The 16,600-nt window shown below is 39.4% G+C and overlaps 1 protein-coding gene across 8 annotated transcripts in view, besides 2 other annotated features; it reads right to left on the bottom strand.

Annotated features, from left to right (window-relative positions):
* MARK1 (microtubule affinity regulating kinase 1) overlaps nt 1–4,088 on the bottom strand; it is a 136,326-nt gene extending 132,238 nt beyond the window's left edge. For all 8 annotated transcript variants that reach the window (XM_017001305.3, NM_001286124.2, XM_005273134.6 and 5 more), the window contains exon 1: nt 3,351–4,088. Coding sequence is in view for 7 of the 8 variants with exons in the window: in NM_001286124.2 (NP_001273053.1) it covers nt 3,351–3,401 (51 nt within the window). In the remaining variant the exon portion in view is untranslated. The remainder of the gene's footprint in view (nt 1–3,350) is intronic.
* Nucleotides 3,725–4,024: a silencer, noted in NCBI's record as "silent region_1825". NCBI's record gives its function as "represses an Ori minimal core promoter by ATAC-STARR-seq in GM12878 lymphoblastoid cells {active_cell/tissue: GM12878}" and the evidence as "EXISTENCE:reporter gene assay evidence [ECO:0000049][PMID:35858748]".
* Nucleotides 15,903–16,197: a silencer, noted in NCBI's record as "tiled region #1437; HepG2 Repressive non-DNase unmatched - State 24:Quies". NCBI's record gives its function as "represses a minimal TATA promoter and a strong SV40 promoter by Sharpr-MPRA in HepG2 cells {active_cell/tissue: HepG2}" and the evidence as "EXISTENCE:reporter gene assay evidence [ECO:0000049][PMID:27701403]".

Genomic DNA, 16,600 nt, shown 5'->3' with positions numbered 1-16,600 from the left:
CCGCCATGAATTTCAGTATGTCACAAGACTCAACATCGAGTCTTTTTTTATTAAAGGCTTTTTAGTCTAACTGAATTCAATTTTAAAACATTCCAAGAAGTAGTCAAAAGAGTTTTCTTCATACTGATCAAAATTTCATCACAGAAAGCTAGGCTGAGCATTTTTGACCCATTAATAATTAGCATAATCGGAGTTTTTCCCAAATACTAAATTTTTTTTCTTGTTTCATTAAAAAACATGTAAGAGTAATGATAATATATTATCTATATCCATGGTGGAATTATCCAAATAAAATCTAACAAAAGAAAAAAAGAGAAATCTTTTTTACTCTTTTTCTGGACTTACTGTTTATAATCTAAAATCAAACACATTTTGCATAGATTCTATTATCTGCAACACATTTTTTTTACTTTACTACAAAGTGTTTATTGCCTTAAAAGTTAATCATTGGTTGTCCTGTTGTATTTAGCCCGTTGAGGCCTATTAACAAGGCACACACAAATCTTTCATCAAAGAAAATACTCCTGAAAAAGTACACATAGACTGTTCTTAGAGAAAAGCAATTCTTTCTCATTCTACTATATATAGCAGTAGTATATAAGAGATCAGTGCTATAATATTCCTCTTTTGGGATTTTTATTTATCCTGAATATATATTAGTGACACTGAGAAGGGTAGATATTATATATTCCCAAGGACACAAAATCCAAATACGTTATATGGATGACCAAAGAAATGTTTATATTAACTGCAAACGACAACGAAATATCAAGATGGTGTTTTAAATTACTGTATTTGTTGATTTTAATTTCTAAGGAAAATAAAATGTTTTTAGTTAGTGTCCTTGATATACCAAAGGACTTAGAACCCTTTAATAGTCATATGAATATAAAAGTTTTGTAACTATTTTTAAAAATATGTCATGTAATTGAAAATGACTATAAACAAAAATACATTTTGGCTGCCATACTGGCATTAATATATTAGCTAACAAGCAGGCTTGTTACTTTATTTCATCGATGAGAAGTAAAAATGGATGATGCCATTTACTACCAACTAGAGAATAAAGAGAGTCACCAATGGTGATTTCGTAGCCATCAGTGGTGGCCTCTTTGATAAACACCTATAACACCTATAAACCAATTTAGCCCTATTTACACAATGTCTTCTACCATACATTACTTGTTTGGGATTATTATCTCTTCTGTAAGCTCCTTGCAGGGAGAGACTTTATCTTAAACACTACTTCTATATCCCCTTCCCAACCCTTTACCTAAAAAATGAACATGCTGAGTGCATACTTATTAATTGACAGGTGTCATATAATAGATATTTTCCACAGCAATTAGGAGAAAATAAGGTGTGGGTAAAGTAAGCTAAATGGAGATATCATTATGTACAACACAATAAGGCACAAGACCATAAAAGTGACTTTGAAATAACATGTTCAGAAACAGCAAATCAGTTTATACAGCATAATCATTTTCAGAAGGTACTCACAACAAAATTTATCATACTATTATTGCTTAGCTTTAAAATCCTTTTTTGTGTGTTCTTACATGAGAAGCTGCATTTTGTGCTATTCCTTAATGCATATTTCTATAATTATATCTCATGTCTTTATGAAGTACCTTATTCATACAAGTATGAGAAAAGCTATACTATTCAAAATCTAAAAGAAAATAAAAACAATGTATTTTTCCACTCCTCCTGGGTTAACACATACAGTAATTTGCTAATAAAAACAAAGGTTATCATCTGTCATACTTTTCATTCACACTCTTGAATGACAGGCATTTTTTTAATGTTCCTGTTAGAAAAATTCTGTGCCAACTCGGCTTTAAAACCAACTCAAACCAAAATATCCATCTTTTTCTCTGAACTTGTTCAATCTCTCAATCAAAATTATGTATCAATTATATTTTCTAAAATAGTTATGATGCAAATGAAGTTCTAATTTATGATAGCAGCAGCCTTACACTATCTTTCCCATTTAAATGCACGGCGCTAGGGAAGACAAAAGCATACTCTGAAACATCTTCACAGGTCCTCTAACAATGGTCTCTTAGTAGAATTTCTTCTCTCTTTGTATAGTTATATTAAATTTCTGTGCTTCCCTCCTAAGATGAAATCATCTGTTTATACCCCTCCAACAACTCAGAAGTGAGCTTGTATCCTTTCTCTCATGCCTTTTGTCTAAGAACACCAAAGCGCTTCGTTATTTTATTTTACCAACCCCATGAAGTCAGTGGTATATCAAAAGCTGGACGGCTGATGAGATAACTAGACAGAGAGCTCTGGACAGCTGACCAAAACTTAGTACCCCTCTAGGTCCTTAAAATCAGTCGGAAAATCAGCCAAGCCCTATTTACAGGTCTTGAGTGTTTTAAACAAAAACAAAAACAAGAAAACCTTCCCACAAAGGAACTTGCACACACACACACAACTGTACTTTTCAGAAGGTGGAAATACAAGGGATCTTGTTCTTTTCGTTTTTCAAGAGTTTAAAAGCCCGGCACATCTGCATCTTGATAACAGCTCCAGAGGGCAATCTGATCAAAGACACAGAAAATCCCTCCTTTAAAGATGTGCACCTTGTGACACTCCAAGGAGGAGAGATATTTAAAGTAAAACCTGCCCTGCATCATTATCACTGACTTAAGGAAGAGATTAAAAAGCCCTTGGCTTCATGTGGCTTTTCAACATTTTGCTGTAACCCCAGGGCCATAGATGCTGTTCGTGAAATTCTTCTACTCATCCCTACTAAGAGTGTCACAGCAGTATAAACTCATACACAAACACGCACACATCTCCACTTCCATTCCCATCCTTCTCGCTTTGGTGCCCATGACCCAAAATGTGGACACAATGTTACAAAAAGCAAAGTCATGGGGCAATGCGGGGGGAGGAGGGGAGAGTGCAAAGGATTGAAAGATCCAGAAAAGCAAGAGTGTGAGAGGTAGCCGGCTCGTCTGCTATTGTAAAGCAAGCATTCATTCGGGTGGGGGCACAGAATGCAGAGGTAGAAATAAAGCAATCCTGACTGCCCACTCTGCCATCCCATTCTGCTTCTCTGCCCTCCATCACCCCATCCGCCCCTGGAGGACCACCTCCGAGCGAGAGGGCGCCACTTACGGTTCCCTACCCTCACCCTTGAGGGGAAACAAGCGAAATGGGGTTGGAATGAAGAATAGGGCTGAGCAGTGGGTGAGGGTCACGCCGGGCTCCAGGTGGAGACCCTGCCGCGGGTGGCCGCGCCGAGGCACGGGGGACGGCCCAAGCGCGGGTGAAGTGGGGATCAGAGGAGGGTCTCGCCCCCACTGCTCCCGAGGGAGGCTCCGGTTACTCACATTTTCCGTGTCCCGCTCGTTCACCGTCGGCAATGGCGTCCGGGCCGACATTTTGTGCGGGCAGCGGGGTCTGGCCGGGGTCTCGCCGGCCGGGCTGTGGTGCGGGCCCCGGGGGGCGACAGGAAAGGGGTGCGGACGCGAGCACAAGGCCGGGGCGAGCGGCTCCCGCAGGCCGCGGGGCGGTGCAACAAGCGGCCCCGGCGGGGGAAAGAGGGAAGAGGACGCGGAGGAAGAGGAGGGGGAGCCGCTTCCCGCGGCGGCGCCGCCGGGGTATGCGGACAGTAACGAGGGAGGGCTTCGGGCGAGGCGGTTGCCCGGCGCTGGCGGGGCGGCGAGGCTGGCAGGATGAGGCGTGGAAGGGGAGCCGGGAGGCGGTGGCGAGCCCCGCTAGGCTCTCCGGACCATGGGTGAAGGTGAAGCCGGTGCCTCAAATCACTGCCTGGCTCGTCCTGGCGAGCGCCTGGGCGTCAGGAACCGCGGCCCTGACAGCGTCACCCGCGCCGCGCCCCGTTCTCCGCCTCAGGTGTACGGCGCCGCCCGACCCAGCCGCATCCACGCGCCCGGGGCCCAGCGGCGGCGGCGCCCGATCCCCCGGCGCGAATGTCTCGGCTCGGTCCGCGCGGTCACAGCCACCGCCGCCGCCGCGCCTCAGTCAGGAGGAGCGGCCCGAGCCGGCTGCGCGCGGAGCAGCGGGCGCGGCACGCAGCGCCCAGAGGCACTTGGCGGCCGCCGCCGGGTGGGCGGGCGCCAGCCGAGGGGGCCTCTCCATTCATTCCCTCATTAGGGATGCGGGGCCGCCTCCTCCTCCTCCTCCTCCTCCTTTTTCTCCTCCTCCTCCTCCCGCGCTCTCTTGCCCGCCTGTCCCTGTGTTTATTTTTGTTTCGTGCCCCACCCGCAGAGTTTACGGTCGTCTAAGAGCCTCTGGTGGTTTTATTTTTATTCGTGTTTGGTTTTTGCCGGGTTGAGGGTGAGAGAGAGCTGATGTGAATCAGTGGCTTTTTTTTTTCTTTTTCTTTCTTTCTGTTTTTGTTTGTTTGTTTGTTTGTTTGTCCGTTTCATTGGAGAAGAATTGGATTCAATCCTACCCTGGATCCTACCCCTCCTTTTCTCCTACCTCGGGACTTTTACCATTCTTAAATTCTACTCCTCCTCCCCCGTTTCCACGCTTTCTCAATCCCTATCCTCGCCTGAGCCCTCTGTCAGTCTCCTTCTCTAGGGAGCCGTTAGGTTCAGGGTCACCCTCAGAGTTTGGCAAAAAGCACAGAAGCCCCTAGAAGCGCCAGCAGCCTAGGGAGGCGGCTGGAGACTCAGTACAAGTGGGTCTCAGCCCCCGACGGCGCGGCCTCTTCGGGAATGGGGCCGGCGGAAGACGTCTCGCTCTGGGCGCCCTGCAGCACCCTCGGAGTGGGTGAGACCCGCGAGTCACAACATCTACACTGGCTGATCGTCACTTCCTGGGACACAAGGAAGTGTCACTTAGGCGAGCCTGTTTAGGGAGGATGGAGAGCTGTGTCTGATTTGGGCCCTGTCCTCCCTCTTCCAGGTGGCTTCCTCACACTTCCACCCACCTGCCTCAAGACATCCTGTAGGCACCCGCGTCTGTAGTGCATTGTCCAGGACCCATTCGCCTTTTATAAGCAAGGCTGCATTTTTTTTTAATCTCATTTGAGAGCTTACATTTTGCACATTCAGCCTGTAGAACGAAAACCTTATCGTCTCTCTATTCTTCTTTGCAACATTTCTTTTTCACTTCCTTTCATGGATGGGCAGGAAGACAAAAGGAATGAAAGATAGGAGCGGATACATTGATTTTCTGAGCTGCTTCAGTATGCCTCCAGTGGAATTCTTATAATGGTGGGAAATTTCTCGTCTCTTCTGAATTTCCTCCATTTGAAAGAAGAATCCCTGAACCAGATGGTTTTTATCCTGACTCATTAAAGGTTGTTTCTGAAAAGTTAACACTTGACCCTTGAAGCATGGGTCCAAAAGACCTGAAAATAGCAAACACAAAAATCCTTTGAGGAAAGAAGCAATTCTCACCCAGTCTATATTCACTTCTAGAACACCATCTGTGTACTTATTTCTTTAGCATTTTCTCTTGTAACCACTTACCAATTTCACAAAGCAAATGAAAAAAAAAAAAAAAACAAGATCCCTTTGGTGGTCATCACCACTTCTCAAACAGAATTTAGGCAGCGGAACTGCAATGCTGCCTCCTGAACTATGATGTGTTACTGAGAATGTCAAGCATTTACGTGCCCTCTGCAGAAAATCCTGAATCACCAAGATACATTGAAGTTGCAAGGGCATAATCCTGTATTTTTCTGGTTATTTTCTGGTTAACTATTGCGACGGCTGCCTGTAGGGGCTGCCATCACAGTGTCAGCGGCATCACTGACTGCTGCAGCCACACAAGGGTACCTAGTGTTGCAATAGTACCTGAGTTAACCTAGCAATAAACAAGTAGCTGTGAAAAGGCGTTCAGCCCCATTGGAATATGAATCATTCCTTCAGCTGGTAGTATGTATTTTGCTCTTTAAAGTATACTCACATATTTTTCTATCTTTATAATCGTGGTGACCCTGACAGGCATATTTATTTCCATTTTACAAAATTCCACTAAGTTAACTTGTTCAAGATCACAGATGCACCAGGTTAATAAGATACAGAAGAAGATAACTGAAATATGTGGTGCTGTTCAATCTTGCACCAGTCACAAAAACCATAGGTTCACCCCATAAGATATAATGGCTAATTCGAGACAGAGCTTAAAGGAGAGCCCCAGATTCTGGCACAGTGGCTTCCACAGATTTTAAAGTGTCTGTTAAAAGCCATGGACAAATCCCTTAGCTATATTTGCTACACAATGCTCACTATTTCACATATTGAAATTTACGGAATATCACATAATAATAGGAAGGGATATTTATTGTTTAAGTCAATCCCCAAGAACACTTCTAACAGTGAAACTACATTCAAAGAGAGTCATTACTAGGTAGCTCGAATCCATAATTCTAGCTAGCCAAATTGTTTTTTTGGATAGAACAATTCTATCCAAAAGAAAATGCCATTCAAATAATCCTTATTAATACCTAACAATTTTAAGCTTGGTATGTAGTGAAAACTAAGTGAAAATGCACTTTGCCCAGGTTAAAAAAAAAGTCACTATGTTTTTCAAAAGGAAATACTGTCTGTCCCTATATGAGCTCTTCTCCCCTTAAAATGGCATTAGTAGATCCTTAAACATGGGAGAGGAAAAAAAAATGACATGAGGCATTATTGTGATGGAGTCAATACTGTTTAACCCTAGTCCTTAGAAATGAAAATGCTCATGAGCAAAATTTTTTTGTGTTACTATATATAGCTTCTGTGTCTGTGACTATGGAGAAATGACAAAGGGAATATTTTAAGGCTTTGAGTAATTTTTTTTTGGGTTATTAACCAAATGTGGCATGTTCAATTCACAGGTTCCTAACTTAATGTGTTAGGGTAATGAAAGTTTTGGAAGAAAATTGAAGTACTGACAAAACAAAAGGGAAATAAAGATCTAAAAGGTGCTAAACCTACAGTGAAAAGTGGGAAAAGAGCATTGCCTACCGTCAGCCCTATGGAGTAGAATTTTTTAGAACTACCGGGTCCAGTACCAGTTACATGTGACTACTGAGCTCTTGACATGTTGCTTGAATTTTTAATTTGACTCAATTTCAAATAATTTACACTTAAAAACCGATTTGATTCAGTGACTGAAAAAATTGTGTTATGTTTGAAAGTATGTTAAGTATATGAATCTACTTTTTCAACTGTAAATTTTCTGAAATCTATATACCGATTAAGTATTTCTCATGGAAATGTATTACCTGAATTGGGATGTGCTATAAATATAAAATGCACACCACATTTTCAAATAGTAGGAAAAAAAAGAGAGTAAGATGTCTCTTTATAAATATTATAACCATTTCATATTGAAATGCCAATATTTTAATATATTAGGTTAAATAAAATATATTATTAAATCATTTTCAACTGTTTCTTTTTTACTTTTTCAAATGCAGATCCTAAAAAATATAAACTTACATATGTGGTTTACATTACATTATCTCTCTGTTGGACAGTACTTCTCCATATGGTCAAAGCTGAGAATAAAAAGGCTTAGTTGCTTAAGAATCAAAGGCCTTGATTATAAGCTATTAATAATTCATTCTGTGGTAGAGTGGCACCCAATAAATGCTTGTTGGGCACCATTCTACCACATGCCATGCTGTGCTGTTCTAGGGGAATATTCTTCACCTAATAGTTAGCGGCAGTCAGTCTTACGCATTCTTTTTAAAGAGCAAAGTGGAAAACATGTTGAATTCATACAAATGAGCATTAACAGATTGCAGTCATTTGTAAACAAAGAATTTATCAAATGTGACAGATTCAGCAGATTAATAGTAAACTCTTAAAACTGCACATGTCTTTATATCATGTGCTTTAGATGTATCCAATGTCTGATAGACTTGGCCAGTCAATAATTATTTGCATACTTTGTTTTAGGTACTACAAGGCTATTTACAATCTTTCATTTAGCCACACAGGAAAACTACAGGATAGACAGTTCGGTAAGGTAACAAAGAGCAGTCTCAGCTAAAGAGAAACAAGGTTAATGTCCATCAGGAAAGAATAATCAGTCCTTGTCACAAATAAACTGGGTCCTGATTGCCTGCCTGTCTGGCAAGGTGAATTTTTATTGTGTCAACATTCACTACTTAAAATATAGAATCACTGAAATGGACAAGATCCTCAAAAGAAACGATATATCGTATTTTTAAAACTGCTTAAAGCTGTTGCCTTTTACATTGTATATATTGTCATAGAAGGACTGAAAAGTCCTTGTGATAATTTAACTTATACTTGTCTTCATAGCCATCAGCATATACATAAACTGTCAGACCCAGCAAGGGTCAGCTCAATGCTTTTTTTGGTTATGCCACTCCACACCTCACAAACATAACCTCCAAGAGTTGTTTACTCTTCTGTTTCCCACAAGCACTGTAGGTTCAGCGATGTTCGTTTTCTTGGAATTCCCCGAACACACCATATTGCTTGACTCCTCCGTGCATTTGTGTCATCTGTTCTGTCTTCCTGGAATGTCCTCTCCTCTTTTCTGCCTGATGGCCTCAGAGTTGGTCTTTAAAAACCTTCCTTTAGAAACCTATCCTGACACCACTGTTTCTCCCCACACCCACAGTTAATTAATCACTCCCTGTGCACTACCTCTGTACCTTGGACATACCTCTACTGTTGCTCTCCTTGCACTGTGTACCTGGCTGGTCCCCTATCCACCTGTGCACTAGGAAAAGGAAGGGAATATGTCTTATTTATTTTTGCCTAGAACCTAGCACAGTGCTTAGCAATTAGTAGATGCCCAATTTCCTAAATGACTTTTATTGACTTGTATGTTCTCCTGAACTTTCACATTCTTTTAAATTTCTAAGAAGCATCATTGAAAATATAGGAGAATTGAAAATATAGGAGGATAATTAAAGTCTACAACTGGGGGATATAAGAGTTTACATAGTATGCAAAGTATCTTCCCAGTAAATGTTATTGACTGGGTAGCAAAGTGACTCTATTCTGTCTCCTACAGATTACCATAGTGCCACTAATTTTACTGCTCTGTGATTTTACTGTAATTATTCATTTTTATCCATACATAGGAATTGCTGATCATTGATATTTCAATAAGTCTTTTAAATGAGTATCTGCATAAACCAAGGTGTACTGTACTTGGTCAGGAGGAAACACTTCAAAAGTAGGTTGAAAAATTAAAAATGGAATGACACGACAATGAAGTGCTAGAGGCAATAGAGCTGGCGGTCAACCCCAGGGAACAGTCATCAGAAATTGGGTGACTCTTCCTAAGTGAAAGCCTTTCAGCAGACTGAGCGTCACAGTGTCACTTGGCAGTGCAAATTGGCACAGCAAAACAAAGAACAAGACACATGGAAGTTACTATTGCGGTGAGTTATGCACTGGTCTTTAGCAATGCTGGAAAAGTGCAGGTGAAAATCAACATTCATAGCGTGATCTCAAAGGAACAATGGTTGCATATGAGTTCATAAATGTATCAGTATAGATATACCCACATTATTGTACCTTCCATACTGTAGTTTTGTAAAGTCACATAGAAAGCAAAACAATCTCTTAAAAGTCTTATGGTAGCCTCCCTAAAGTAGGAGCTTGGTTGTCTTTTACTTGGCATTTGTGACTACAAATTACACATAATGTAGTTCAATGCCCTTTTAAACAGGCTTGCAATTTGAGTATTTGATTTCCTAGATGACACACTAAGTGAATTGTTCCCTCATGTCTTTATACTTACCTTATTAATATAAAAATGTTATTTTTGTAGGTTCTTTTTATAAACTCAATTTATTCAATGCCTTCAAATTATTTTTTCTATGTTAAATGTGACATCACTTAACATTTTGTTGATTTCTTCCTTTTCTACATAAATACACCATTTTTCACTTTGCTTTTCATTCATTCATTAATTTAAAAATATATAGCTCTGTTAATGTAAGGGACTATTCTAAGCTCTTCAGAAACAGCAGTAGACGAAATAGACAAAAATCCCCACCCACATGAAGTTCACATTTTTATAGGTACTTTCAGTGTCTAGACAGTTCAAAACCAGAGACTCCCATTATACAAATAATATTTTGTTATGTCTTGATTATATTACTCTTTTAACAAACACAAGCACCCAGGTTTAACTTTTCTAAAAAAATTAATGAATTACAGCAGCTAGATCTATTCTCCAATCCAATTATAATTTGCTTTCTGCCTTAATATTTTGGCATTTCTCCAATAAGCTTTTGTATAAACAGCTTCAACTGGTTCCACAACTAGCTTAGGTACTTGAAAACCATAATAAAGATGCCTTCCTGAGCAGGTGACTTATATTTGATCTACATTTCGTAATATTACACCAGCTTTATTATATTGACACCAGTACACTTACTACATTTCAACATTATGAACTGCTTTATCTTCAATAACTGATAGTTTTCTATTTCTGTTAGTGCTAAATAATATTTTTGTAGTTCAGCAAAAAATCATATAGTAAATAGGAGTCTACATTATAACCTAAGCAAAAGCCTTTCAGCAGACTGAAACCATTTAATCAAATGTGAGATTATCCAATTTAATTATCAGTGCAGCCCATCAAAGTTGATGTGTAAACTTTATAACTCTGTAATAGTAGAAACAGCTTTATTATAACTGTTTTAGCAGTACTTTTTTTTCAGATAAATAAACAGTTTTGGAATACTCTTTCCTGTCCATTTCATAAAAACCAAGCTCCCTATTACTTTAGTAATATATTCTACTTTTCTTTAATAGCTCTTATAATAATGACTAAAATAAAGCAATTGTGAATGTTCAGTCCAATACCGTGTCTCTAATGCCTAGCACAGTGCCTAGCATATGGGAGTTGCTCAATTAAGCAGATGAATGGATAGTAGATTTAATCATGTGTCTGAATTTGAGCATATGTTTTCAGATCCTGGATTTCTTTCAGATGATTTTAGTATATTACCACTCATAAGCGAAGAACCCAGGTTAAGTGTCCTTAATCTTTCCAAATTGACCCTCTATAGTCACCCATTGGGCACTTGCCATCCATTGCTTAAGAACTCAATTGCCAAGACTCCCATATTAACTTTTTCCACTATTTACTAATATCTTCCTTTTCTAGCACTAAGACAAACATCTAAATTTCTAAAGTTATAAATGTGTCCTTTTAAAAACATTACAATCATGGAATATGCATCTCAGAAGATTACCATGGCTAGAATCCAGGTTTGTTTACATATGAAAAAGTATATTTCATTTGTAATATTTTTAACCATTCTTTTGTTATCTACTTCTGTCATATCAAACTCTTAACAATAAGCCACAATCAATTGCATACTGTTGAGCATGTACTATGAGTTCTGTTCTATTCTAAGAGGTGCTAGGTATGAGGTATGATGCTAACATGTTGCAATTAATATATATATATATATATATATTTTGAGATGGAGTCTCGCTCTGTCTCCAAGCTGGAGTGCAGTGGTGCGATCTGTGCTCACTGCAGTCTCTGCCTCCCAGGTTCAAGCGATTCTCCTGCCTCAGCCTCCCCAGTAGCTGGGATTACAGGCATGCACCACCACAGCCAGCTAATTTTTGTATTTTTAGTAGAGACGGGGTTTCACTATGTTGGCCAGGATGTTCTTGATCTCCTGAGCTCATGATCCGCCCACCTCAGCCTCCCAAAATTTTTATATAAATACAACAAGAGTTGTATGCAAAACTTGAGCTGAGCTTTCAAAGTAGTCACTCTGAGGAAGTATATATTTAATACAATGATGTGATGGTACACTTTATGAATTTATTTTGCAAGAGCTCTGGAACCTGTAGTTTGATGTTTTGTATATTCTCAGGGGTGGTAAATCTTTGTCTTTTGATGACTTATTTTTAATGAAGTATCTGTTTGGAAACAACTTTGATGAACTGCATGGATAATTAAATTGGATAATCCCACATTTGATCAAACAACAGAAATGTAATAGTAAAAACAACAGTATTTTCTTATGTTCATCAAACTGGATCATTCCTCAAAGGAGCATTTAAAACAATGAATGATGACAGCCTCTTTTCAAGTATAAAATCTTGAAAAGTAACTATTTTAGGATATGTACTAATTATTTTACAATCATTTCTACAGGTGGTCATATGGTGCATGCAGTTGAGGAACATGCAGTCTTAATAGAGTAACATGAAAAGTTAAAGAACAAAATACAGTGTTAATTGGTAACTGTCCAAAGGGCACTAGCGGCAAAGGAAGATAAAGAAAAGGCTTCATACAGAAACATCAATGTATATCATCATCGTCTTTATTAAGAGCTAAAGTTTATGTGGGTTTTCTAAAGTCTTCTGTTTACATCATCTCCAGTAATTCAGCCTAAAATTCTTATAAACCAACAAGTGTTCTTAGTCCATTCCCCAAAGAAGAAACCAAGGCACAAAAGGTAAAAAGGTTTGTCTTGTAGCATATATTCCATGACAAATGGATCTGGAAATCCAGGCCCTCCAGCCCTGAACCCAGGCCTCTTTTCATTCATTTCTGGGTCACAGGCACCTGCATAATGATTGCTGACTCCCACATCCATATCTCCCTTTTCTTTTCGTTTTTACTTTTAAAAACCACTGTAGTCTTCTGAGTATGAGAACATTAGTGCAACAGAGACATGGAGGGGAGTGTTAAGGACATAAAAATATATGAATAAATGTTGTGAACTTATTCTGCTATAAATGTCAAATAAAATCAGGTCTGGCCATAAAGGCAGGATTCAGGACAAACTGCATTGTGTAGCTTGCCTGATGTTTTTATATGGATGAAATCAGATTAGAATTAAGACAAACAGCAAACTAGAAATAGGAAAGAAATAGTAAAACTATGTAACGTACAGCCTAGAGAGTATGTATTGGAGGGACTGGTAAGAGGGAAAGGCACCTATATGCCGAAGTGGAGAGAAATTTTGCCATGTTGATGGTTGGGAGAGAGCTTGTGGACTACAGACATACTTCAGAGATATTGCAGATTCAGTTCCAGACCACTGCAATAAAGCAAGTATCACAATACAGCAAGTTACACAAACTTTTTGGTCTCCCGGTATATATTAAAGTTATCTTTACACTATACTTATCTATTAAGTGTTCAATAACATTATGAATAAACAAATAAGGTACTTAACTTAAAAATACTTTGTTGCTAAAAAAAAAAAACCACCAGATTCTTCAGCAAGTTGTAATTGGAGCCTTCAGCAAGTTGTACTCTTTTTGCTGGTGGAGGGTTTTGCCTCCATGTTGATGGCGCTGACTGATCATGGTAGTGGTTGCTGAAGACTGGGGTGGCTGTGGCAATTTCTTAAAATAAGATAACAACGAACTTTGCCACATTCGTTGACTCTTCCTTCCACAAAAGACTTCTCTTTAACAGATGATCCTGTTTGATAGCATTTTACCCACAGTAGGACTTTAAAAATTGGAGTCAATCCTCTCAAATCCTGCTGCTGCTTTATCAACTGTGTGTATGTAATATTCTAAATCCACTGTTGTCAGTTCAGCAACATTCATAGCATCTTCACCAGGGGTAGATTTCATCTAAGAAACCACTTTCTTTGCTTATCCATAAGAAGCATCTCCTTATGCCTTCAGCTTTTATGATGAGGTTGTAGTAATTCAGTCATATCTTCAGGCTCCACTTCTAATTCTAGTTTTCTTGTTATTTACCCCACATCTGCAGTTACTTTCTCCACTGAAGTCTTGAACCCCTAAATTCATCCATGAGAACTACAACCAGCTTCTTCCAAACTCCCCTTAATGATATTTTGACCTGCTCCTATGAATCATGAATATTCTTAATGGAATCTAGAAGGATACATTCTTTCCAGAGCTCTTCAATTTGCTTAGATTCATCAGAACAATCACAATCTATGGTAGCTATAGCCTTACAAAATATTAATATACCTCTAGGCTTGAAGGCCAAAATTACTCCTTGATCATGGGCTGCAGAATGGATGTTGTATGAGCAGGCATGAAAAAAAACATTAATCTACTTGTACATCTCCAGAAGAATTCTTGGGTGACAAGGTACCTTCTCAGTGAGCAGTAATATTTTGAAAGGAATCCTCTTTTCTGAGGAGTAGGTCTCAACAGTGGGCTTAAAATAGTCTATAAATCATGCTACAAACTGATATGCTGTCATCCAGGCCTCGTTGTTCCATTTATAGAACACAGGCAGAGTAGATTTAGCATAACTGTTAAGGGCCCTAACTGGTATTGGCTTCAATGTAAAGTCACCACCTGCATGAGCCCTTAACAAGAGAGTCATCCAATCCTTTGAAGTTGTAAAGCCAGGCATTGCCTTCTTCTCTCTAGCTGTAAAAGCCCTGGATGACATCTTCCTCCCATAGAAGGCTATATTTTCCGCATTGAAAATCTGTTGTTTCATGTAGCCACTTTATCAGTGATCCTAGCTAGACCTTCTGGATAACTTGCTGCAGCTTCTACATCAGCACTTGCTGCTTCACCTTGCACTTTCACGTTATGGAGACAGCTTCTTTTCTTAAACTTCATGAACCCACCTCTGCTAGCTTCAACTTTTCTTCTGCAGCTTCTTCACACTTCTCAGGCTTCGTAGAATTAAAGAAAGTTACTGCCTTGCTCTGAATTAGGTTTTGGCTTAAGAGAATGTTGTGGCTGGTTTGATCTTCTATTGAGTCACTAAAACTTTCTCCATATCAGCAATAATGCTGTTTCATTTATCATTCATGTGTTCACTAGAGTAGTACTTTTAATTTCCTTCAAGAACTTTTCCATTGCATTTACAACTAGCTAACTGTTTGGTGCAAGAAGCCTCGCTTTTGGCCTGCCTGGTCTTTCGACATGCCTTCCTAAGCTTAATCATTTCTAGCTTCTGATTTAAAGTGGGAGACAAGTGACTCTTCCTTTCACTTGAACACTTACAGGTCATTGTGGGGTTATTAATTGGCCTAATTTCAATATTGTTATGTCTCAGGGAATAGGCGGGATCGAGGAGAGGAAAAGACATGAGGAGATGGCCAGTAGGTAGAGAAGTCAAAACACACACAACATTTATAGATTAAGTTTGCCGACTTATGTGGGCACAGTTTGTAGCTCCCCAAAAGAATTACAATAGTAACATCAAAGATCACTGATCATAGATCACCATCGCAGATACCACAAGAAACAAGTTTGAAATATTGTGAGAGTTACCCAAATGTGACACAGAGACATGAAGTGAGCATGTGCTGTTGGAAAAATGGTGCTGATAGACTTGCCTGGTGCAGGGTTGCCACAAACCTTCAATTTGTAAAAAAATGCAATATCTGTGGAGTGCAATAGAGTGAAGTGCAATAAAATGAGGTGTGCCTGTAACAACCTGCCCAAGGAGGTTAAGTAGTTAGTGAAAGACAAGGTGTTTCCTAAATGCTAGCATTAGTTTCAATGGCCATCTAACTCTCCCAGAAGAATAAACGTAGGCTATTTTTATTAAGCAACCACAACAGCAATAGCCACGAAAACTAGCAATCTGGAGTGAAGAGCTCCCATACTGAGCCTTGTACTAGAATCACAAAAAGATAGAGCGCTTCTGTTATTGAACATCTACCGGGTGCCCTGCAGGTCACGTTTGTCATGCTGTTTAATCCTCACAGCAATCCTATGGGAGTTGCCTAAAGTCACACACACTTATGAAATATGTCTGACTCCACCACAGCCTGAGGGAATTGTCCCTGCTTTCGAGGGTCTCACAATCTAAGTAGATCAGATGCCTACCCACCACATCTTGCCACTTTACCACCAAGACCTGAACACACATACACACACACACCCTACACAGAGCCAAAAGCACCTATAAAGCAAAATGCCTGCATAGAAATATAGTATAAAATGTATAGATTAGGGCCACAAAAGAATGACTGAGTCAGTTACATGAGTTAATTAGAAAAGACTTCCTGGAGGAGCAGAGCTTTAAGCTGTGTTTTAAAAGACAAAAAGGACAAATATAAGTAAAGTGAATCAGGCATTCTCCAAGAAGAATGTAATGGGTAAAGGCCTGGAAACAAGAATGAGCATGCTGTGGATGGGCGATGACAAGTAGCTTTGTTTGACTGAAACAAAGTTTTCCACAGTCCTGAAGAATCATTCATGTGAAAAAATATTTAAGAACTCAGCTATGTGTGCTCATAGGTGAACGTTGTCTTTCTCTGAATAGAATTTTGCTACTTGCTGTAGAACCATCAGCATCTACTGAGATGGCTTTAAAATAATGCTGGGAACCATTGCTTGCTTTTTTCAATTCCTTCGCAGTTTTCTCCCTGTGGGACCATTCAATTCTCATCTTTGGGCTCCTCTGAGTTCTAGCAGCACTCACTCCCTTAGGTCTATAAATACTAGTATTAAACACATACACACACGCAAACTTTCTATTTCCTTAAGAGGGGAATACAATCTTTATTTTTAGTTGAAATGTATTATTGTGCATTTTCTGAGATTCTTTCCCAAGAAAAGACCACAACTATTTGTAGTCAAAGAATATTTTGCAGTTCAGCATGTGGAAACTTGTTTTTGTAAGATACTTTAATGCATTGCTAAAGAAATATATTTGCTTTGCTTTGCTGCTTGTTATTTTTATAGAC

This window comes from Homo sapiens, chromosome 1, assembly GCF_000001405.40.
Source record: "Homo sapiens chromosome 1, GRCh38.p14 Primary Assembly".
In the NCBI taxonomy this organism is placed as follows: Eukaryota; Metazoa; Chordata; class Mammalia; order Primates; family Hominidae; genus Homo; species Homo sapiens.
This window is presented reverse-complemented; position numbering and strand designations above follow the sequence as displayed.